At 43.6% G+C, this 22,830-nt stretch overlaps 1 protein-coding gene, 1 long non-coding RNA gene and 1 pseudogene across 4 annotated transcripts in view, besides 7 other annotated features; 2 read left to right on the top strand and 1 right to left on the bottom strand.

The window, feature by feature from the left end:
• Positions 4,940-5,439: an enhancer, noted in NCBI's record as "H3K4me1 hESC enhancer chr17:62916499-62916998 (GRCh37/hg19 assembly coordinates)". NCBI's record gives its function as "activates a minimal SCP1, AML or CMV promoter by ChIP-STARR-seq in naive and primed H9 embryonic stem cells {active_cell/tissue: H9 hESC(naive and primed)}" and the evidence as "EXISTENCE:reporter gene assay evidence [ECO:0000049][PMID:30033119]".
• Positions 5,440-5,941: an enhancer, noted in NCBI's record as "H3K4me1 hESC enhancer chr17:62915997-62916498 (GRCh37/hg19 assembly coordinates)". NCBI's record gives its function as "activates a minimal SCP1, AML or CMV promoter by ChIP-STARR-seq in naive H9 embryonic stem cells {active_cell/tissue: H9 hESC(naive)}" and the evidence as "EXISTENCE:reporter gene assay evidence [ECO:0000049][PMID:30033119]".
• Positions 6,017-6,517: an enhancer, noted in NCBI's record as "H3K27ac hESC enhancer chr17:62915421-62915921 (GRCh37/hg19 assembly coordinates)". NCBI's record gives its function as "activates a minimal SCP1, AML or CMV promoter by ChIP-STARR-seq in naive H9 embryonic stem cells {active_cell/tissue: H9 hESC(naive)}" and the evidence as "EXISTENCE:reporter gene assay evidence [ECO:0000049][PMID:30033119]".
• Positions 6,017-6,542: a biological region, named in NCBI's record as "H3K27ac hESC enhancer GRCh37_chr17:62915421-62915921".
• Positions 6,133-6,352: a silencer, noted in NCBI's record as "silent region_8855". NCBI's record gives its function as "represses an Ori minimal core promoter by ATAC-STARR-seq in GM12878 lymphoblastoid cells {active_cell/tissue: GM12878}" and the evidence as "EXISTENCE:reporter gene assay evidence [ECO:0000049][PMID:35858748]".
• LRRC37A3 (leucine rich repeat containing 37 member A3) overlaps positions 6,342-22,830 on the top strand; it is a 65,349-nt gene continuing 48,860 nt past the window's right edge. For both annotated transcript variants that reach the window (NM_001303255.3, NM_199340.5), the window contains exons 1-2: positions 6,342-6,389; positions 6,950-7,070. In NM_001303255.3, the coding sequence (NP_001290184.1) occupies positions 6,955-7,070 (116 nt within the window). In that variant the 5' untranslated portion in view covers positions 6,342-6,389; positions 6,950-6,954. The remainder of the gene's footprint in view (positions 6,390-6,949; positions 7,071-22,830) is intronic.
• Positions 6,453-6,542: a silencer, noted in NCBI's record as "silent region_8854". NCBI's record gives its function as "represses an Ori minimal core promoter by ATAC-STARR-seq in GM12878 lymphoblastoid cells {active_cell/tissue: GM12878}" and the evidence as "EXISTENCE:reporter gene assay evidence [ECO:0000049][PMID:35858748]".
• Positions 6,613-6,992: a silencer, noted in NCBI's record as "silent region_8853". NCBI's record gives its function as "represses an Ori minimal core promoter by ATAC-STARR-seq in GM12878 lymphoblastoid cells {active_cell/tissue: GM12878}" and the evidence as "EXISTENCE:reporter gene assay evidence [ECO:0000049][PMID:35858748]".
• LOC105376844 (uncharacterized) overlaps positions 16,055-22,830 on the bottom strand; it is a 59,955-nt gene continuing 53,179 nt past the window's right edge. For both annotated transcript variants that reach the window (XR_934912.4, XR_001752972.3), the window contains 2 exons: positions 20,344-20,469; positions 16,055-16,225 (listed from right to left, as the gene is read on the bottom strand). This is a non-coding gene — a long non-coding RNA (uncharacterized LOC105376844). The remainder of the gene's footprint in view (positions 16,226-20,343; positions 20,470-22,830) is intronic.
• On the top strand, positions 19,802-19,937 carry RDM1P4 (RDM1 pseudogene 4; annotated as a pseudogene).

The following is a 22,830-nucleotide window of genomic DNA, read 5'->3' as shown; positions in this document are numbered from 1 at the left end:
CGGCTCAGTGTACCCTGCACCTCCCAGGCTCAAGTGATCCTCCCACCTCAGCCTCCCAAGTAACTAGGACCACAGGCACGTGCCACCAAGCTCAGCTAATTTTTTGTATTTTTGTTAGAGACAGGGTTTCACCATGTTTGCCAGGCTGGCCTTGAACTCCTGACCTCAGGTGACCCACCTCAGCCTCCCAAAGTGCTGGGATTACAAGCGTGAGTCTCTGTGTCTGGCCAACATACTATTGTCTCAATATGCATTTTGCCATACTTTTTAAGTGCATCTCTTCTGCTATCCTGTAGTACAACTTACTCTTGGAAATGATCAAAGCAAACTATATTACCCTAGGGACAAACCCATTGTGATTGGCATCCACGAACAAACTTGGTGTAAAGAAATCATATCTACGACCAAGAGGATTTCTTTCTCATTTGGAGATAAGAGTTTCACTTTGTCACCCTGCCTGGACTGCAGTGACATAAACACGGCTTGCTATAGCCTTGACCTGCCAGGCTCAAGTGATCCTCCTGACTTAACCCCTCAAGTAGCTACAGGTGCTCACCACCATGCCCAGCTACTTTTTTTTTTTGTAGAGATGGAGTCTTGCTGTGTTGCCCAGGTAACTTACCTCCTGAGCTCAAGTGATCCGCCTGCCTTTGCCTCCCAAAGTGCTGGGATGACAGTTATGAGCCACCTGTACCCAGCCATAAGAATATTTCTTAAAATCTGACTTAAAATTTTTTTAAAAATTCTTTTAGAGATAGGGTTTCACCATGTTGGCTAGGCTGGTCTCGAACTCCCGACCTCAGGTGGTCTGCCCACCTTGGCCTCCCAAAGTGCTTGGATTACAAGTGTGAGCCACTGTGCCCAGCCAAAATCTGACACATTTATAAATTTCTACAATAATTTTAAATACCAAAAATATTCCCAAAACGTTTCATCATGATTATTTTTCTTCCCAAATCTTATAGTCTCTCAGAAAAATAACTTAGCCCACGTTTCCTTTAAAGAGTTTTTAATTTTTTTAATGAAGGGCCGAATTAATTTTATTTTTCCTTCTTTAAAAAAATTCGTCCAGCACAGTGGCTCACACCTGTAATCCCAGCAGTTTGGGAGGCCGAGGGCGGAAGATCACTTGCGTCCAGGAGCTCAAGACCAGCCTGGACACATGGTGAAACCCCATCTCTACTAAAAAATACAAAAATGAGCCAGGTGTGGTGACGCATGCCTGTAGTGCCAACTACTTGGAAGGCTGAGGTTGGAGGCTCCCTTAAGCCTGAGAGGTGAAGACTTCAGTGAGCTGTGATGGCACCACTGTGCTCCAATGTAGATGACAAAGTGAGACCCTGTTAAAACAAAACAAAACAAAACTTTTTTTTGGAGATAGGGCCTCACTTGATCGCCCCGGCTAGAGTACAGTGGTGCTATCATGGCTCACTGCAGGGTCGACCTCCTGGGGTCAAGCAGTCCCCTGGCCTCAGCCTCGCCAAGTAGCTGAGACTACAGGTGTGCATCACAACACCCAGCAAATTCCTTTTTGTAGAAACAGGGTTTTGCCATGTTGCCCAGGCTGGTCTCAAAATCCTGGCCTCAAGTGATCCACCCACCTCAGCCTTTTAGAATGCTGGGATTACAGGCTGTGAGCCACAACTCTCTTGGCCTATAAATGATAATTTAAGTGAATCTCTGAAGCTACAGTTTTTTGTTTCGACATGGAGTCTCGCTCTGTCGTGCAGTGGCATGATCTCGGCTCACTGCAACCTCCGCCTTCTGGGTTCAAGTGATTCTCCTCCCTCAGCCTCCCAAGCAGCTGGGATTACAGGTGCCTGCCACCATGCCTGGCTAATTTTTGCATTTTTAGTACAGACGGGGTTTCGCCCTGTTAGCCAGGCTGGTCTCGATCTCCTGACCTCAAGTGATCCTTTCACCTCAGCCTCCCAAAGTGCTGGGATTATAGGCATGAGCCATTTCGCCCAGCCTCTGAAGCTATAGTTTTATAGATTCTAAAGCAGAGACTTCATATAGCTGTCTATGAAAAGCCAAAAACAAACAAAAAACCCACAGAAAAACCTGATTCCCCACGCCAAAATTTCAAGGATTTGCCTAAAGGTAAGGTCCATCTGTACCTGAAATAAAGTTTGCTGTGCCTCTTTTTTTGCAGGGTCACCCAGCCCTATGCACCAATTATACTAGTAACAATCATTACATGAGTACCTCAGGAAGCTTTTAAATATATCACAAATATTTTACCAAATAAACCTGAATGGCCCTGGTTTAATGAAACTGTTTCTCTGTCTATAGACTATCTAGTCTTATAAAGTCAAAAGAGAAGCAATGTGACAAATTATTCAACAGCCCTTCTCTATTTATAGAGAGAGACTGAACTTCTTCCTTGGTTAGAAAGAAAACCTTGAGTTTCATTTCCTAGTTCATATATTTTTATAACATCGTGGGACAGATTTTGGGAAAACCAAGATGGTATAGCGGGCGCACACTTTGATCCTCCCTCTCCCTTCAAGAACATACAAGTGAGAGTAAAATATAAAAAAGAGAAATTGAAAAGACATAGTCATGCTTAAATAAGTTACAACAATCTCAACGGAACAGACACAAAACTGTGAGCAGGACTAAAACTGCAGGCCTTCTAGACTCCAGATGCAGAAGGAGGAAGTGGTGGCTGAACACTAACAGTATGAGTTTCTCGGGGATAAGGGAGGCTAACATGCTGTGTGTGAGGCAGTGATAAGCGCTGGCTCCCTGCTGGAAGTTAAGGGTTGACTGGGCTACACTGGGCTTCAGGAGAGAAGAAAACAACACTCCTCTCACTCAAAATAAGCTTGCAAAATTCAAATGTTTGAAAATGAAAATGTGTAATATGAAAAAAAGATAACCAGGGCCCATACGGTGGCTCATGCCTATAATCCCAGCACTTTGGGAAGTCAAGGAAGGAAGATCACTTGCTTGAGCCCAGGAGTTTGAGACCAGCCTGGGCAACATGGCAAAACCTTGTCTCTACAAAAAAACAATGACAACAACAATAACAACAAAAAACACCCCAAAATTAGCCAGAGATGGTGGCAGGGCACGCGCCTGTAGTCCCAGCTACTTGGGAGCCTGAGGCGGAAGGACTTACTGATCTGGGTAGGGGGAGGCTGCGATGGGGTGTGATTGCACCACTGCACTGCAGCCTAGGAAAAAGAATAAGGCCCTGCTTCTCAAAAAGCAAAAAAAAAAAAAAGCCAATAAAATCAATGGTCTAATCTGAATTCACTCCAAATGAAATTATAGAGCAATTTGACAGGCCGGGCATGGTGGCTCACACCTGTAATCCCAGCACTTTGAGCGGCTGAGGAGGGAGGATCACTTGAGGTCAGGAGTTCAAGACCAGCTTGGCTAACATGGTGAAACCCCGTCTCTACTAAAAATACAAAAAAAGCTGGGCATGGTGGCAGGTGCCTGTAATGCCAGATACTCAGGAGGCTGAGGCAGGAGAATTGCTCCAACCCGGGAAGCGGAGATTGCAGTGAGCAGAGGCAGCCCTACGCCCTCCAGCCTGGGCAACAGAGCAAGACTCCATTTAAAAAAAAAAAATTAACCCTATTTAAAAAAAGAGGCAGAAATAAAAATAGGTAGATGTAAAGAAGGAATCACATATCTTATAAACTAAAAAGAAAATAAAATGTATTTTTAAAATATGCCAGTACTTATACATATTTGAAACTTTAGCAGAGACGGAGTTTCCTCATGTTGGTCAGGCTGGTCTTGAACTCAAAAGCAAATTACCTTAGCAATAATGTGTTTTTGTTTTTGAGACAGAGTCTCACTCTGTCGCCCAGGCTGGAATGTGGTGGCGCGATCTCGCCTCACTGCAACCTCTGCCTTTTAGGTTCAAGCGATTCTCTTGCCTGAGTCTCCGGAGTAGCCAGGACTACAGGTGTGCGCCACCACGCCCAGCTAATGTTTGTATTTTTGTAGAGATGGGGTTTCACTATGTCAGCCAGGCTGGTCTTGAACTCCTGGCGCCATGTGATTCACCTCCCTTGGCCTCCCAAAGTGCTGGGATTACAGACGTGAACCATTGCACCCGGCTCCTTCTTTCCCAAAGTATAATTTTTCTTCCTCATTAGATTGTTTTTGTATAAAATGTGTTTATATATGAACACATGCATTAAAACAATATATACAAGATATATTCTAAAGTTGTTTAAAAATGATTGTCTTTGGGGTTTAGATTTAGAGATCACTTTTATTTGTTGGCTTTGAAGTGCAACTGACCTATTTATTTACATATAAAGGATATAAACTACAAATATTTTCCCACTCTGTACAGAATGTGGAATGGAAACAGTGCATGGCACACCTTAAGTGTTAAATAAACATTTCCTGAGTGAATTGAATGGATACATCACACTATATATACACTAGTCTGTAATTTGGATTTTTTGTTCAAGCACTTGTCATTGGCAATTTCCTCCAAATAATTAAAAAATGAAAAACACCAATCCCACATTATTTTCTTAAAATGGAAGTACATTTTTTGGATATTCCAAAATGTATTCCAGTGGTTCTCAGCCGGAAGTGGTTCTGACACCTCCTAGTGGGAATGTATGGGGAGCGGGCAAGGTTACCTTTTTGGTTGTAAAAATGATGAGGCTGGTACTAGCCTTTGGTATCCGGGCCCAGAGATGCTAAACTTCTTCCTACAGTGTGTAAACTGGCTTGTCCAAAAGGCCAAAGCGCTTCTGTTGAGAAACACTGATGACCAATCTCCTCTATGTGGTCCTGTGAGACTGTGAAACACGTATTTGATCTTCCTGGTTCCTGGCATACAATTCCTAAAACCCTCAGAATCTGCAAAATAAGTCTTTTTTTTATGCTAATGATTGACTGATTAGGCTTTCCTAGACAGCCTCAGGATTGGGGCTGGTGGTCAGGGCTTTCAGTGCCACTCTCAACCTCTGAGAAAGAGAGAGAGGCTGAAGGTTAAGCTGACCACCAACGGCCAACGGTGTAATCATTAATGACTCTGTAATGAAGCTTCCATAAAAACCCAAATTGAGGCCGGGCACAGTGGCTCACGCTTGTAATCCCAGCACTTTGGAAGACTGAGGTGGGTGGATTACTTGAGGTCAGGAGTTGGAGGCCAGCCTGACCAACATGGTGAAACACCGTCTGCACTAAAAGTACAAAAAATTATCCAGGCATGGTGGCACACGCCTGTAATCTCAGCAACTCGGGAGGCTGAGTCATGAGAATCGCTTGAACCTAGGAGGCAGGCTCAATGTTTATCTTGTAACTGACTATGTTACTGAATTATAATTTTTTTTTTGAGACCTAGTCTCATTCTGTCACCCAGGCTGGAGTGCAGTGGCGTTATCTTAGTTCATTGCAACCTCTGCCTCCCAGGTTCAAGCGATTCTCGGGCCTCAGCATCCCGAGTAGCTGGGATTACAGGCATGCACCACCACGTCCGGCTAATTTGTTTGCAATTGTAGAAAAGACAGGGTTTCACCATGTTGCCCAGACTGGTTTGAACTCCTGGCCTCAAGTGATCTGCCCGCCTCGGCCTCCAAAGTACTGGGATTAGAGGTGTGAGCCACTCAGTCCAGACAACATTTATTTCTTTATTCATTTCACCAGTTGGCATGGTTTCCAGACTTTTCTTGATTTATTTTATTTTATTTTTTGAGAAGGAGTCTCACTCTTGCAGCCCAGGCTGGAGTACAATGGCGCAATCTTGGCTCACTGCAACCTCCACCTCAGGGGTTCAAGCGATTCTTCTGCCTCAGCCTCCTCAGTAGCTAGGATTACAGGCACCCGCCACCATGCCCAGGTAATTTTTGTATTTTTAGTAGAATTTAGGAGTTTCCTAAATTCTGGGGGCTTGTCTCCCTGTTCCCCCACCCCGACTAATTTCCCTCGGTCGCTGGCGCTGCCCCGTCCCTTAGGTCGCTCGGGCCGCCCCACTCCGAGACTTTTTTTTTCTTTCGCTGGCTCTTTCAGCTTCAGTTTCCCTAGGGGGCGGGAGGGGAATATTTGGGGGCTCTCCTGCCTTCCTCTCCGAGCCGCGGAAGGGGAGACGCAGGGAGGAGGTCCGGCCGGCTTTGGGCTCCAGCCAGGGGTCCGCGGAGACTATGGTCTCCGAAGGCCTTAGCCGCGGGGCATTTCGCGAGCTGCGCGTCTCTCTCAACGGCGCCACCGCGCCCGGAGTCCAGCCGCGCCGCGCTGCGCCCAGCCCCGGCGCCCCAGGCTCTCCGCCCCCGACTCAATGCTCCCGCGCTCCCCCTAGCGGCCGCCGCGCCACCTCGCCCCGTCCCAGGCTCGTAGGCTGCTCAGCTCACGTGACCGCGCTCCGGTAACGGAAGAAACAAGATGGCGGCTGAAGGCGATCCGCAGTGAGGCCCCAGCCATTCGGATTGAGCCTTCTCCCTCCAACCGCTTCCGCAGGCCGGGCCCCTCCTGCCCTGCCCCTCTGGCCTCCCCACCCGGCCCCGGCCGCCCCCACTGCGCCCATTGCGCCCGCCCCTTCCCGGCCGCTTTCCCTTCTCCCTCCGCCTCGGTTCCAACATGAGGGGCCGGCGGGGCAGGCCGACCAAGCAGCCCGCGGCTCCCTCTGCGGAGCGCTGCGCCCCGGCCCCGCCGCCGCCGCCGCCGCCCACGTCCGGACCCATCCGGGGTTCCGCTCGCGGCACCGCGGCAGCAGCCGGGGCAGGTGGGCCGCCGCCCAGGCTGAGGTGGCGCCCAAGACGCGGCTGAGCTCGCCCAGGGGGGGCAGCAGTAGCCGGAGAAAGCCGCCGCCGCCGCCAGCCCCACCCCAGCACCAGCGCCCCGGCCGGGGGGAGGCGGGGGCAGCCACCTGGCCCGGACAGCTGCAGGTCCGGACGGCCGTCAACAAAGTGGTGTAGTCACTACAGGTGCTCGCTGCCACACCCAGCTAATTTTTTGTATTTTTTAGTAGAGATGGAGTTTCACCGTGTTGCCCAGGCTGGTGTCGAACTCCTGAGCTCAGGCGATCCGCCCGCCTCAGCTTCCCAAAGTGTTGGGATTATAGGCGTGAGCCACTGCACCTGGCACAGGTATATGTATGTATTTTTTACAAAATTGGATGAAGTATAATTTATTTGTTAAATATTTTCACTTATGCCATGATATCTTATTTAATCTTTAATTTGTCTATGAAAATACCTGCTCTGCTAGGGGGCTTCTAGTTGAAAACTCATTAATTTAAAAAATTAATTTTGAATTCAGCCACCTATTCTTTTTTCTAATTGTTTCTTGTAGCTTTTGCTTTGATTGGAATAACTTTATTCTAGGAATAAAGTTTTGTCATCTGCAAACATGAATCATGTACACATCTGATTTTCTTATATTTATGTCTCCTTTTTCTCTTCAAATTACATTGCCTTTACCATTGATGGGAACCTGGGTAATAAAGAAAAAAGAAAAAAATTGCATTCCCTACCACCTCCTCCAAAACAATGTCAAATGTTAGTTATAATGATAGGCATCTTAGTATGCTATCCCAATTTAATGGAACTGTTGCAGATATTTAATGGTTAACTGTTGGTTTGAGACCTTTAATGTGTTGAGTATATTCACCTATTTCAATTTTTTTTCTGTTTAAGTTTTTTTTTTTTAAATCAGATATGGCTATTATATTTTGTTAAATGACATCTTAGCATCTTTTAAGATGATCATATAGTTTTCCTCCTGCATGCTACATATTAATTACAGTAGTGTATATTCATAGAATTATATTAGTAGATCTTATATTGATTCACCCTTACATTCTTGCAGTGAACCTCTCTTGATCATATTATTTTTTCATGTACTGTTTGACTTTATTTATTTAGTTTTGAGACAGAGTTTCGCTCTTGTTGCCCAGGGTGGAGTGCAGTGGCGCGATCTCAGCTCACCACAACCTCCGCTTCCCAGGTTCAAGCGATTCTCCTGTCTCAGCCTCCTGAGTGGCTGGGATTACAGGCGCCCGCCACTACGCCTGGCGAATTTTTGGTATTTTCAGTAGAGACAGGGTTTCACCATGTTGGCCAGGCTGGTCTTGAACTCCTGACCTCAGGTAATCCGCCGGCCTCGGCCTCCCATAGTGCCGGGATTACAGGTGTGAGCCATCGCGCCCGGCCTGTTTGACTTTTAAATAGGTATTTTAATTTTTTAGTTTATACGTGTACAGTGCATAATGTATTTAAGATTCATCTGTGTTGTTGTATCAGTAGTTTCTTTATTGCTGAGTAGCAGTCCTTTATATGAGTGTATCACAGTGCATTTATCTGTTCAATAGTTGAATATTTCAATTATTTCTAGTTTGTGGCACCTATGAATAAAGCTGCCGTAAACATTTCCATAATGTTTTTTGTCTGAACACAATTCTTGTTTCTCTTGAGTAAATACCTAGGAGTATGATTTCTGGGTTGTATGTTTATAAGAAACTGCCAAAACTGTTTTCCAAAGTAGCTGTACCATTTTGCATTCTTACCTGCAAATGTATGAAGAGTTCCGGTTGCTCTGTATCCTCCCTAGCACTTGATATTTTCAGGTTTTTTTTTTTTTTTTTTTTTTTTTGAGATGGAGTCTGGCTCTGTTACCCAGGCTGGAGTGCAGTGGCGCGATCTCGGCTCACTGCAAGCTCCGCCTCCCGGGTTCATGCCATTCTCCTGCCTCAGCCTCCCGTGTAGCTGGGACTACAGGGGCCTACCACCACGCCCGGCTAATTTTTGTGTATATTTAGTAGAGACGGGGTTTCACCATGTTAGCGAGGATGGTCTCGATATCCTGACCTCGTGATCTGCCCGCCTCGGCCTCCCAAAGTGCTGGGATTACAGACGTGAGCCACTGCGCCCGGCCTCAAGTTTTTTTTTTTTTTTTGGCCACCTTAATAAGTATATGGTGGTAGCTTCTTCTGGTTTTAATTTCCTTGTCCCTAATGACTAATGGTTCTGAGCCTCTTTTTATGTGCATCTTTTGATTTGCCATCTGTATATCATTGTTTATGGAAAAATACTAAAGTCTTTTTTTTTTTTTTGAGACAGAGTCTTGCTCTGTTGCCCAGGCTGGAGAGCAGTGGCACAGTCACCACTCACTGCAGCCGCCACCTTCTGGGTTCAAGCCATCCTCCCACCTCTTGGCCTCCCAAGTAACTGGGATTGCAAGTGCGCACCACCACACCTGGCTAGTTTTTTTTTTTTTTTTTTTTTAATAGAGATGGGGTTTTGATATGTTGCCCAGACTGATTTCGAATCCTGGGCTCAAGCGATCTGCCTGCCTCGGCCTCCCAAAGTGCTGAGATTACAGGCATGAGCCACCATGCCTGGCCAAGATACCAAAATCTTTATTTAAGATGTTTAATTGGGTTGCTTTCTTTATTGTTATTCTTCTTTTATTTTATTTTATTTATTTATTTATTTGAGACGGAGTCTCGCTGTGTCGCCAGGCTGGAGTGCAGTGGCGCGATCTTGACTCACTGCAAGCTCCCCCTCCCGGGTTCACACCATTCTCCTGCCTCAGCCTCCCAAGTAGCTGGGACTACAGGCACCCGCCACCACGCCCAGCTAATTTTTTGTATTTTTAGTAGAGACGGGGTTTCACCATGTTAGCCAGGATGGTCTTGATCTCCTGACCTTGTGATCCTCCTGCCTCGGCCTCCCAGAGTGCTGGGATTACAGGCGTGAGCCACCACGCCAGGCTTCTTTTATTTTTTTAGACAGAGTCTCGTTCTTTCACCCACGCTGGAGTGCAGTGGCATGATCTTGGCTCACTGCAGCCTGTCATTCCCCTCGACCCCAGGTTCAAGGTGATCCTCCCACCACCTCAGCCTCTGAAGTAGTTAGGACCACAGATGCATGCCACCATGTGTGGCTAATTTTTGTATTTTTAATAGAGATGGGGTTTCGCTATGTTGCCCAGGCTGGTCTTGAACTCCTGAGCTCAAGCAATCTGCCTACCTTGGCCTCCCAAAGTGCTGGGATTACAGGCATGAGCCACCATGCCTGGCCAATTTCTTACTGTTGGGTAGTAAGAATTCTTTATATATTTTGGATATAAGTGCTTTGTTAGGCTGTGTGATGTTCATACATTTTCTCCCCATCTGTGCCTTGTGTTTCATTGTCTTAGCGGTGTCTCTTTCCCAGAGCATAAGTTTTAAATTTTGATGAAGTCTGATTTACCACATTTTTTCTTTTACACATTTGGTGTTCATCTAACAGCTCTACCTAACCCAGACCTTGCCAGACTTTTTCTGTAAAAGGTCAGATAGTAAATATTTCAGCCTTGCTGTCCCTGTTGCAGCTCTGCCATTGTAGCAATGAAAGCAGTCATAGACAATATGTAAATGAATGATAATAGCTGTTCCAATAAAACTTTATGAACACTGCAGTTTGAATTTCACATAATTTACAAATTATCAATTATATTGTTTTGATTATTAGAAAAACAGGTAGTGGATTGGCCATGGTTTGCTGATTCCTGGCCTGACAAACCCAAGTTCACAAAGATTTTCCTCTTTGATTTTGTTGTGGTCGTTGTTCCACACCTTTTTTCACTGTTTCCTTAAGGTAGAGTGTACATATTTATAAGGGTACATGCAATATTTTGATAGATTCATACAGTGTGTAATGATCAAATCAGGTTAATTAGGGTATCCATCATCTCAGATGTTTATCCTTTTTTTTGTATTGGGAAGATAACAAATGTTCTAGCTATTTTAAAATATACACTAAGTTATTGTTGACTCTAGTCACCCTACTGTGCAAATAAAAACTAAAACGTATTCCTTCTATCTGACTGAGTTTTTATGCCCATGAATCAACTTGTCTTCATCCCTACCTGCTTCCCAGCCCCCGGTAACCATCATTCTACTGCCTATCTCCATGAAATCAACTTCTTAATCTCTCATATATGAATGAGAATATGTGATACTTGTCTTTCTGCCCTTGGCCTATTTCACTTAACATAATGTCCTCCAGTTCTATCCATGTTGCTGCAAACAGATTTTATTTTCCAAACCTTAAGCTTTATAGATGACTTCACTTTTTAAATGGCTGAATAATATCCTCTTGTGCATGTATACCTCATTTTCTTTGATTTTTCTTTCTTTCTTTTTAAATAGAGATGAGTTCTCACTATACTGCCCAGGCTGGTCTTGAATTTTTTTGCTCAAGCAATCCTCCTGCCTTGGCCTCCCAAAGTGCTGGGATTCCAGGCTAAACCACTGTGCTCCTTTATGCGTTTTTTTGTTTTTGTTTTTGTTTTTAAAGACAAAATCTTGCTCTGTTGCCCAGGCTGGAGTGCAGTGGTGCGATCTTGGCTCACTGAAGCCTCCACCTCCCAGGTTGAAATTATTCTCGTGCCTCAGCCTCCCAAGTAGCTGGGATTACAGGCACCCACCACCACGCCCAGCTAATTTTTGTATTTTTAGTAGAGATGAGGTTTCACCATGTTGGCCAGGCTGGTCTCGAACTCCTGACCTCGGGTGATTCATCTGCCTTGGCCTCCCAAAGTGATGGGACTACAGGCATGAGCCACTGCGCCCAGCCCCTTTGTGCACTTTTAAAAACATATCTTAGAATTTGTGATACATGTTTTATTTTCATTTTCATTTGGTTCACAATATTGTAAAATTTCTACTATGACTTACTCTTTGACCCATGATTTGTTTTAAAACGTATTGTTTAATTTTCAAACATTTAGGGATTTCCCAGACATCTTTGTTGTTGGTTTCTAATTTAATTCCATTATGGTTAGGGAACATACTCGTTATGATGAATTAAAAAAAAATGTAGAGGTTTGTATATGGCCTGAAACATTGTTTGTTTAGGTCAATGTTCAGTTTGTAATAGGAAAGATGTGTTCTGCTGCCTTTAGGTAAAGTGTTTCATAAATAATAATTAGGTCAAGTTGGTTGATCGTGTTAAGGTCTTCCCTATCCTTGCTGATTTCCTGTCTGCTTGTTCTAGTGATTACTGAGAAAGGAGTGTTGAAGTCTGCAATGATTGTTATGGGTTTGTTCTCTTTCTCCTTAAAATTCTGTCTGTTTATGCTTCCTGTATTTTGAGGCACTGTTATTAGATGCAGAAACATTTACAGTTTTGTCCTCTTGATTATTTGACCCCTTTATCATTCTGAAATAACCTTTATTTCTGGTAATAATCATTATATTAAAAACCATTATTTGGCCAGACATGGTGGCTCATGCCTGTAATCCCAGCACTTTGGGAGGCCGAGGCGGGTGGATCACCTGAGGTCAGGAGTTCGAGTCCAGACCGGACAACATGGCGAAACCCCATCTCTACTAAAAAGAGAAAAATAGCCTAGTGTGGTGGCACACGTCTGTAGTCCCAGCTACTCAGAAGGTTGAGGCAAGATAATCACTTGAATCCGGGAGTTGGATATTGCAGTGAGCCGAGATCACGCCACTGCACCCCAGCCTGGGAAGCAGAGCAAGACTCCATTTCAAAAGAAAAAAAAAAAAAAAACCCAAAATAGGCCAGGTGCAGTGGCTCATGCCTGTAAACCCAGCACTTTGGAAGGCCGAGGCAGGTGAATCACCTGAGGTCGGGAGTTCGAGACCAGCCTGGCTAAGATGGTGAAACCCCGTCTCTACTAAAAATACAAAAATTAGCCAGGCACGGTGGCAGCTGCCTGTAATCCCAAGTACTTGGGAGGCTGAGGCCAGAGAATTGCTTGAAGCCGGGAGGCAGAGGTTGCAGTAAGCCAAGATCATGCCATTGCACTCTAGCCTGGGTAACAGAGCAAGACTCCATCTCGGGGGAAAAAAAAAAAAAATTACTTAATATTAATATAAAATTAGTGTTTTATATTAGTAGTATAATACTGTTTTTGACTAGTGTTAAAATGACATATCTTTCTCTACCCTTTTGCTTTTAATCTAGATATCATGATATTCATTTATTTTTTAATTTGTAAAAATAGAGATGGGGTTTTGCCATGTTGCCCAGGCTGGTCTTGAATTCCTGGGCTCAAGCCACCTGCCCACCTCAACCTCCCAAAACGCTGGGATTATAGGCGTGAGCCACCATACTTGGCCATATCATTATATTTTCAAATGGTTTCTTGTTTTTTCGTTTTTCTTTTAAATGTAATCTGACAGCGTCTTTTAATTAATGTGTTTTGGACCATTTACATTTAATATGATTGATGATGATTGGATTTAGGTTTCCTTTTTATTATTTGTTTTCTGGTTATTTCTTTTTTTGGGGGGTTTCTTCTGTTTCTTTTTTCTGCCTATTTTTGGATTAACTGAATATTTTTTAGTGTTATGTTTTATTAATTGGCTTTTGGTTATATCTGTGCTATGTTTTTGCTGTAGGAATTACAAAATATATACCTAACCTACCTACTTAGAGTTAGCATTTTACCTCTAAATAAAATGTAAAAGTATTGCAAACATATAGGTTTCTTTATTCTAGCCCCCCCTTATAATTGTATATATGTGTGTGTGTATGTGTGTATATATATACACTTTCAATGTATGTAGATATGTATCTATACTTTCAGTGTATATTATATCTACATGCATACATTGTGTATGTATGTAGATGTATATCTACATACATTGAAAGATATATATCTACATACATATACAATGCATGTATGATACCTTTGGCTACTACATCCTTCTTAAATTTCCTGTTGCCACTTATGACCTGATTTCCTTGACCAGTTATTCCTCCTTCAAACATCCCTCTTACATGTGATAGTCCTCAGCATTTAGTTTCCCCAACTTTCCCCTAATTATCAGTTGACTCAATTACCACCAAAATATCGATGACTTTTTTGAGACAGAGTCTCACTCTGTCACCAGGCTGGAGTGCAGTGGCACGATCTTGGCTCAGTGCAACCTCTGCCTCCTGAGTCCAAGTGATTCTCCTCCCTCAGCCTCCCGAGTAGCTGGGAATACAGGTGTGTGCCAACACACCCAGCTAATTTTTGTATTTTTAGTAGAGACGGGGTTTCACCATGTTGGCCAGGATGGTTTCAATCTCTTGACCTTGTGATCAGCCTGCCTCAACCTCCCAAAGTGCTGGGATTACAGGCATGAGCCACCGCGCCCGGCCAAAATATCAATGACTTCTAGATCCATTTTCCTACCTAGACCTCTTTTCTAAACTCCAGATATATATTTCCAACTGCCTGTGCTGTCCGCCATAAACTCCACATTGTAGGAAATAGAAAGGAGTTGTAAAAGTTTAGGTTCAAAGCAAAATTTAAAAACTCATAAATGAGACAAAATTTTGTGATGATAAAGGCTATGGTCCACAATGAAGATATGAAAGTAATGAACCTTTCTATAAAATGTATAGGTGATAGAGCTGGTCCCCAACTTTAAGCCTTTCAGCGATTCAAGTAACTACAGAACATCGTTAAAGTACTGAGAGAAATGTCAATCCAGAATTCTATATCCAGCAAAAATACCCTTCAACAATTAAGGCAAAAAGAAAAAGAAGAAAGACATTTTGGATGAAGAAAATCTAAGAGAATGTGTTGGCGGAAGTTCTGCTCTAAAATAAAAGTAAAAGAAGGTCTTTAGGCCAAAGGAAAATTATACCAGTGGTAATACTAGAACTTCAGAGATAAAGAGCAGCAGAAATGGTATCTGGGAAAATTTAAAAATGCAAACGGTTGTTTCTCCTCTTAAGCTCTTTAAAATATGTATAGTGGTTGAAAGCAAAAGTTAAAACACTGGTGAGACTTTCAGTGTATGTAGATATACGTATATATAGATACATATATCTATATACATGTAGAGGTAATAATGGTAGCTATTTTATGGAGCTGATCTGAGGATAAAATGAAATAATGCATTTTAAAGTGCTTAGCACAATGTCTGGCAAATAGAAAGCACTCTATAGGCCAGGCATGGTGGCTCACGCCTGTAATCCCAGCACTTTGGGAGGCCTAGGCAGGTGGATCACTTGAGGTCAGGTATTTGAGACCAGCCTGGCCAACATGGTGAGACCCCGTCTCTACTAAAAATATAAAAATTAGCCGGGTGTGGTGGTGGGCTCCTGTAATCCCAGCTACTTGAAGTGAGGCAGGCGAGTGGCTTGAACCTGGGAGGTGGAGGTTGCAGGGAGCCAAGATTGCACCACTGCACTCCAGCCTGGTCGACAGAGCAAGACTCCAGCTCAAAAAAAAAAAAAAAAAAAAAAAAAGGGGGGACAATGTTACTCTTCTTCCTTCTAGAAACATACATTTTATAGAGAGTTGTTTTTTGAAGTCTAGAAGTCTGAAAACGTAGGAGTCAACTCTGAAAAATCTACAGTGGTTTCTGGGGTTCAATCTTGGCATGACTTTACCCCTGCATCTCTGCCCTCGGCAGGTAGTTTTGTTTATGGGTGTCATTGGTTGAACAAATAATTGTTTTAGTTGCTACAATAAATAAAACATGATCTGTGCTCTAAAGGAGTCAACAGATGAGCCAGGGGGGCATGAGTAATTGCCTGTAATATAATTGTGCTCACGCTGTCATGGAGGACCGTACAAAGTGTCAGAAGCACAGTGCCAGGAGGCACAGCAAAGGGTAGTAGAGGTGACATTTGAGCCCAGCCTTGAAAACTGTCTAGGATTTCTCAGCATTTCAGCAAAGTAAGGCAATTTCTGTCTAAAATATATAGGCAAAGTTTTTATTAAAAATACGAGAAATTAATTAAATAACAGATTATGACCACAATGCAGATTTAAAAACTAAGGTATGATGAGTGCCGTTGACCGGTTCATCCAGACAGTTCAGAGAACAGAACATCCATGTAGATCCTTCTTGTATTACAGAATACAAAGGAGCGGAAAATTTTGCCTCAGTAACTGCCAGGTCATTCTAATTAAAGTACCTATACATTGTAATATAATTCCTCCATTAAGGTAACAGCCAATCAGGTGGTACAGAGTCTGTGCCATTCAGTCAAGAAATTCACTCCCTTAACCTAGACTGTGCTGGAAATTCATTGACAAATTTTGTTCTTTGGTTCTCCATTTTTCTTCAGAATTCATGCAGACCACTTGACTTCCTTAGCAGTTTCTTTTGTGGGCGTACATTAATGTCTTTGGTTAAGCTTCAGCTTCCGTTTGCATCAATCCTGTTGTAATCGTGCCTCCTGAGGCATCTTTTTTGCTTCCCTTGCATCAGTTTCCAAAATCCTACTTTCTGCTTGGTAAGGGGAGTATCCATTTTCTTTAAAGCAGTGGTTTTCAAACTTGCCTGCACATCAGAATTATTTGGGGAGAAGGATAAAAATACAGATTACTGAGCTTCACCTGGGATTCTGTAGATTTGAGTTGCATTTGGGATTACTTTAAACAATTTACCAGATGATTTTTGTGGCACCTCCACTTCAGTTTTAGGAAGGACTGTTTCAAGGCAGCTTTTCAAACTTTAATGACCATAGAAATCACCTGAAGATTGTGAGAAACTGCAGATCCTGATTTAGTAGGCCTGGGTTTAGGCCTGAGGTTCTGAATTTCTCTGAAATGTGATAATAGCAAATCCCTCGTTGAGTAGCAAGGTTGTTTTTTGTTTTTTTTCTTTTTTTTCCAATATCTTCATGACATTCAATGAGTAGCAAAGTTCGAAGATAACTTCTGGAATTTCATCTAATGTGTATTAATTTTTACTCATCTGGATCTTAGGGGAAATAACCTATCAGATTATAGGGAAGTGTTTCTCAAAGTATGGTTCCCCAAACAGCACAACCTGGGAATTGTTAGAAATGCAAGTTCTGGGCTGGGCACTGTGGCTCATGCCTGTAATCCCAGCACTTTGGGAGGCTGAAGCGGGTGGATCACCTGAGGTGAGGAGTTTGAGACCAGCCTGGCTAACATGGTGAGACCCCGTCTCTATTAAAAATACAAAAAAAATTAGCTGGGCATGGTGGTGGTACTTCTTAAAATATTTTTAGAGAGGCAGAGTATCCCTGTGTTGCCCAGGCTGGTCTCTAAATCCTGACCTCAAGCAATCCTCCTGCCTCAGCCTCTTAAGTAGCTAGGTACAAGCCACCATGCCCAGCTATATTGACTTGTTTTTGAGACGGAGTCTCTGTTGCCTAGGCTGGAGGGCAGTGGTGCGATCTTGGCTCACTGCAACCTCCGCCTCCCGGGTTCACGTGATTCTCCTGCCTCGGCCTCCTGAGTAGCTGGGACCACAGGCATGCACCACCATGCCTGGCTAATTTTTGTATTTTAGTAGAGATGGAGTTTCACCATGTTGGCCAGACTGGTCTTGAACTCCTGACCTCAAATGATCCACCCCCGCCTTCGCCTCCCCAAAGGTGCTGAGACTACAGGTGTGGGCCACCACGCCTGACCATATATTTACCTTTATGTGAATTTAAGATGTGTGGGTGTGACCAAGTCGTCTGCCGGCTGTTATATAAAGGAGACTTTATCATCAACATGCTCATCATCAGTCACAAACTGCCTATTTGGAACTCCCTTCAGTTCTCAGAGGATGGAAACATTCTTTAAGCGGCCTTGTAGAAATCCTATTCCATGTTAATATGCCAACCAATTTTACTTTCCCAGAGCCACAGAAGGATATCTCATTGTATGCCTCAATTCAATCACCTTTCCATTTTCAAGGACCGATTTCAATTCCTGATTGGCTACTTGATCTGACTGCTTCCTGCTAATCTTGTTGCCTATTGTCTATATATATTCCATTTCTCATTGAATTAACCTTGATCAAATCTGAGAACTCTGCTTAGTAATGACTCCAGGTATACTATACCCACTTTTGTAGCTTATTCAACACCCTCTTCAATCCTGGTTCCACTTCCTGTGACTGAAATGATTACCTGTGGAATATTCTTCAACTTTTGGACTATGATGTGTTTCTAACCTGTGACCATTTCACATAGCCACTCAAATATGGTAAAGGTACGGTAAAGATGATGAAACAGTTACTTGGTATCATTTTGTAAGTAATGAGTTTTTAGTGTGCTTTGGACCTTGAGACCACTTCATAAGCTTTAGATTTTGAGAATTTCACAGCATAAAGCTCATCGCTGATGCAGTAATGAAGGAAATGTTCTACAAGTTAATAGATGAGTGAGAGGAGAGGGCATTCATATTAGATTTATTTACTTACTGAACTCAGAGCCTTGGGTTACTGCTTGACCCCCACTGTTATCTAGTTTAAGGGTCCTTTTATTTTTTGTTTTTTTGAGGTGGAGTTTCACTCTTGTTCCCCAGGCTAGAGTGCAATGGCCCGGTCTCTGCTCACTGCAATCTCCGCCTCCCAGATTCTCCTGTCTCAGCCTCCCAAGTAGCTGGGATTATAGGTACCCACCACCACGCCCTGCTAGTTTTTGTATTTTTAGTAGAGACAGGGTTTCACCATATTGGTCAGGCTGGTCTCGAACTCCTGACCTCAGGCAGTCTGCCCACCTCAGCCTCCCAAAGTGCTGGGATTACAGGCATGAGCAACTGCTCCTGGCCTTAAGTGTTCTTTTCTACTTTAGCACATGCACCTAGTTCCTGTCTTTTTTGGTTTTTATAAATACAGAAAAGAGAATAATGTTTTAAAATCAAGGAAAGGCCTAAGGCATCTGTGAGGGTTTTTTGTTTTTGTTTTTGTTTCAGTGAAATGAAGGGAAATGGTCGCCAGCAAGAACTGTGGCAACGTTATCCAAGGTGACAACTGTCTGTACCACCCAGGGGCTTAGAGCCCTTCTGAAGTTTCCTAGATGTTCCGAAAGTCTCCACTGTGACTCATGATACAGGCTGGTCTCCGTGGTAGCACTCAACGTTTAAAAATTAGTCTTCATTGCCAGGCGTGGTGGCTCACGCCTGTAATCCCAGCACTTTGGGAGGCTGAGGTGGGTGGATCCCGATGTCAGGAGATGGAGATCATCCTGGCTAACACGGTGAAACCCCATCTCTACTAAAAATACAAAAAATTAGCCGGCAGTGGTGGGGGGGCACCTGTAGTCCCAGCTACTCTGGAGGCTGAGGCAGGAGAATGGCGTGAACCCGGGAGGCGGAGCTTGCAGTGAGCCGAGATCGTGCCACTGCACTCCAGCCTGGGCGACAGAGGGAGACTCCGTCTCAAAAAAAAAAAAAAAATAGTCTTCATTTCTCCTTCCCAACAAGCGTTTCTCTTTCTCTTCAGTGGGAAAAAGTAATTTCATTTTTTACTTGCTCATTGTTTTATTCATTCACTCAATCAACAGATCATCTATCCTGTATTGTATGCCAAGAACTGTGCTTTGTTCTGGGAATGAAAAAAGAATAAGATATGTTTTCCTCTGGCACTTATGGAGCTTATAAACCAGTGACAGAGGAAGGTGCATAAACAAATCAACAAAGAATTAACTTTACTATTCTTATTAATTTCTAATACAATAAATTTGACTATTTGTATCATTTGAGTTTCATGAATATAATCATATTCTACACTTACAAAATGAAATAGACATAAGAAAGAACTGGTGATGTAAGAAATTCACAGAAATGTGTAAAATATTTCAAGAATTAACACTCAGTAGATATTTGCATTGTCAAAGAAGCTTATAAATGCAGATGAACCTCTAGTTGTTTTAGTTGCTTGTAAAATGTATAGAGGTATGTGTATTTCCTCTTTAAGCAGGGGTAACTTGGGGTGGGGGATGGGTGGGTTCATCTTATCTATTCTTCAGGTCATGTTCTCAAGAAGGAGCTACTGAATGGGAAGACTGAAACAATTTCTTTTCTTTGCACAGTTGGTATTGATAAATCTCAGGTGTATCCAAAATAAAATCTCTGGCAGGCTGTGATATTTGTGGGTCTGTCTCTTGTGACTTTAGGTTCCTCTTGGCAGCAGACATAAGGCAGTTGCACATCAGGCCCTTGCCTGAAACAGCTCCTGATGCCAAGAACTGGTGAATTACTACTTTGGTTTCAATGGATGGTCAGAAAGGATCATCAGGATAAACTTTGTGGATTTTCTCTCACTAACCACGCTCTCCTTTCAACATTGAAATTCTAGACTTTAGACAGAAGTATTGAACTGGGTTACAGGGAGGGGATGTGAGAGGCCCCCTGCCATTGAGGATAAGTGGACATGTCTGAATTGGCCTGCTACCTAAAATTAATAATCTCAATCACTTGGATGGTGGTGTCCATAATTTTCTCCACTGTTTGTGTGGCATATAATAAGTAATGGTTGCACCTAGCAATTCATTTACAAATCTTACTTGATTTTGAAGCCATAGAACACCTCAACTGTTAGCTTGAATGACTGGAGTTTAGTTTTTATTTCTCAGAACAAAACAGTTTGAAGCCTAATTAACATCCTCGGAAGGAACTTAACACTAAAACTCCTAACAGCTTCAGTTTTCTGACCTTGAAGAAAGGGAAAATGAAGAGACCATGGTGCCACTTCCGAAGCAAAGGCTGAAGTTCTGTGCTTTAGAGGTGGTGTTGCCATCCTATGATTGCAGGAGTCTGGCCTTGGCTTGGTGGAGGAGCCTGTGGATAAGGCGAAGGAAGGTCTGTTTTCATTGGGGGTAGAGGAGGGTAAGGAGTTGAAATGGGAAGGATCTCTTTTTTCTTGCTGTCTAAAACTTGTCTTTTCAGACACATATCAAGCCTTTCCCTCTCTGAGCTACTGAAGTCCTGGGCAGAGGTTTTCTGTCTTACAATACAGACTTTTACCTTAGGCAATACCTGACAGAGCCTTTAAATAAGTAAATAAATTGCTTTAATAAATTGATTTAATACATTGATTTATTAATTAATAAATTTATTTAATACATTGATTTATTAATTAATAAATTTATTTAATAAATTGATTTATTAATTAACTAATTTTGAGAGAGAGTCTTGCTCTGTCACCAGGCTGGAGTGCAGTGGCGTGATCTCGGCTCACTGCAACCTCCGCCTCCCGGGTTCAAGGCATTCTCCTGCCTCAGCCTCCTGAGTAGCTGGGATTACAGGCGCCCACCACCACACCCAGCTAATTTTTGTATTTTTAGTAGAGATGGGGTTTCACCATGTTGGCCAGGATGGTCTCGATCTCCTGACCTCGTGATCTGCCTGCCTTGGCCTCCCAAAGTGCTGGGATTACAAGTGTGAGCCACCCCACCCGGCCAGAACCTTTAAATTTAAAATTGTACAGTGTACTTCCTGCCAAGAAGCGTAGGAGGAAGAAGGAAGTAATGTTTTTCCAGTTTTCGGTTAAGAACTTGCTTTGTATTAAAATAGTCCTTCAAGTCTACAGCCATACCACCCTGAACGCGCCCAATCTCGTCTAAAATAGTCCTTCAAATATGTATCTCTTATAGCCTTCAGTTATCCCAACAAAATTATCTAAAGATTTGTTTATCTATTTATTATTATTTTTTAGAGACAGGGTCTTGCTCTGTTGCCCAGGCTAGAGTGCAGTAGCATGCTCATAGCTCATTGCAACCTCAAACTGCTGGGCTCAAGGGATCCTCCCACCTTAGCCTCCTGACTAGCCAGGACTACAGGCGTGCGCCACCACATGTGGCTAATTATTTTTTCTGGAGATGGGGTCTTGCTGTGTTGTCCTGCCTGGTCTCAAACTCCTGGCCTCAAGTGATCCTCTTGCCCCAGGATCCCAAGGTGCTGGAGTTATAGGCATGAGCCACCCACCATGCCAAGTCATCATGTAAAGATTTACAGAAAGTTTTGTGTAAACATTGTCTTTTTTTTTTTTTTGAAGCAGAGTCTTGCCCTGTCGCGCAGGCTGGAGTGCAGTGGTGTGATCTCGGCTCACTGCAACCTCCACCTCCCAGGTTCAAGTGATTCTCCTGCCTGACACTCCTGGGTAGCTGGGATTACAGGCATGCACCACCATGCCTGGCTAATCTTTGTATTTTTAGTAGAGATGGGGTTTCACTGTGTTGGTCAGGCCGGTCTCAAACTCCTGACCTCGTGATCCATCTGCCTTGGCCTCTGAAAGTGCTAGGATTACAGGCATGAGCAACTGCGCCCGGCCCATTCAGCCTTTTTTTTACTCGTAGAAGGGCTTCAGTGGAACAAGAGTCTACTAGAGATACTAGAAAGGGTACTCAATTGATAACTGACGTTGAGATTTTTTTCTAGTACTCATGGCCCTCAGGCTTAGGGTTTGAAGTCAGAGGCAGGGCTGTAGGCTAATGGAGGGGAGTAGGCTTTCATGGATGATGCCCAGGGAGGAGCCAGATTATCTGTACCAAACCTTTTTTGTTTTTTTGAGACAGAGTCTTGCTCTGTCGCCCAGGCTGGAGTGCACCGGTGTGATCTCGGCTCACTGCAACCTCCACCTCCCAGGTTCAAGCAGTTCACCTCCCTCCTGCCCACCACCACACTCAGCCAATTTTTAATTTTTAAAAAATTTTTTAGTAGAGACAGGGTTTCATCATGTTGCTCAGGCTGGTCTCAAACTCCTGACCTCAAGTGATCTGCCCATCTTGGCCTCTCAAAGTACTGGGATTACAGATATGAGCCACTGTGCCTGGCCTCTTTTTGAAAATAGTCTTACTCTGTCACCCAGGCTGGAGTGCAGTGGAATGATCTCGGCTCACTGCAACCTCCGCCTCCCGGTTCAAGCTATTCTTGTGCCTCAGACTCCCAGGTAGCTGGGATTACAGGTGTGTGCCACCACACTCGGCTAATTTTTGTATTTTTAGGAGAGATGGGGTTTCACCACGTTGGCTAGGCTGTTCTTGAACTCCTGGCCTCAACCCGCCTTGGCATCCTAAAGTGCTGGGATTACAGGCATGGGCCACCGTGTCCAGCCAACAAAGCTTTTTTTCAGTGAGTGATTCCAGCCCTTGATGCATAGGAGGGTGGGGTCCATAGGAGTGTAGCCTTAACTGATGAATT

Source organism: Homo sapiens, chromosome 17 (assembly GCF_000001405.40).
Source record: "Homo sapiens chromosome 17, GRCh38.p14 Primary Assembly".
Lineage (NCBI taxonomy): Eukaryota > Metazoa > Chordata > Mammalia > Primates > Hominidae > Homo > Homo sapiens.
This window is presented reverse-complemented; position numbering and strand designations above follow the sequence as displayed.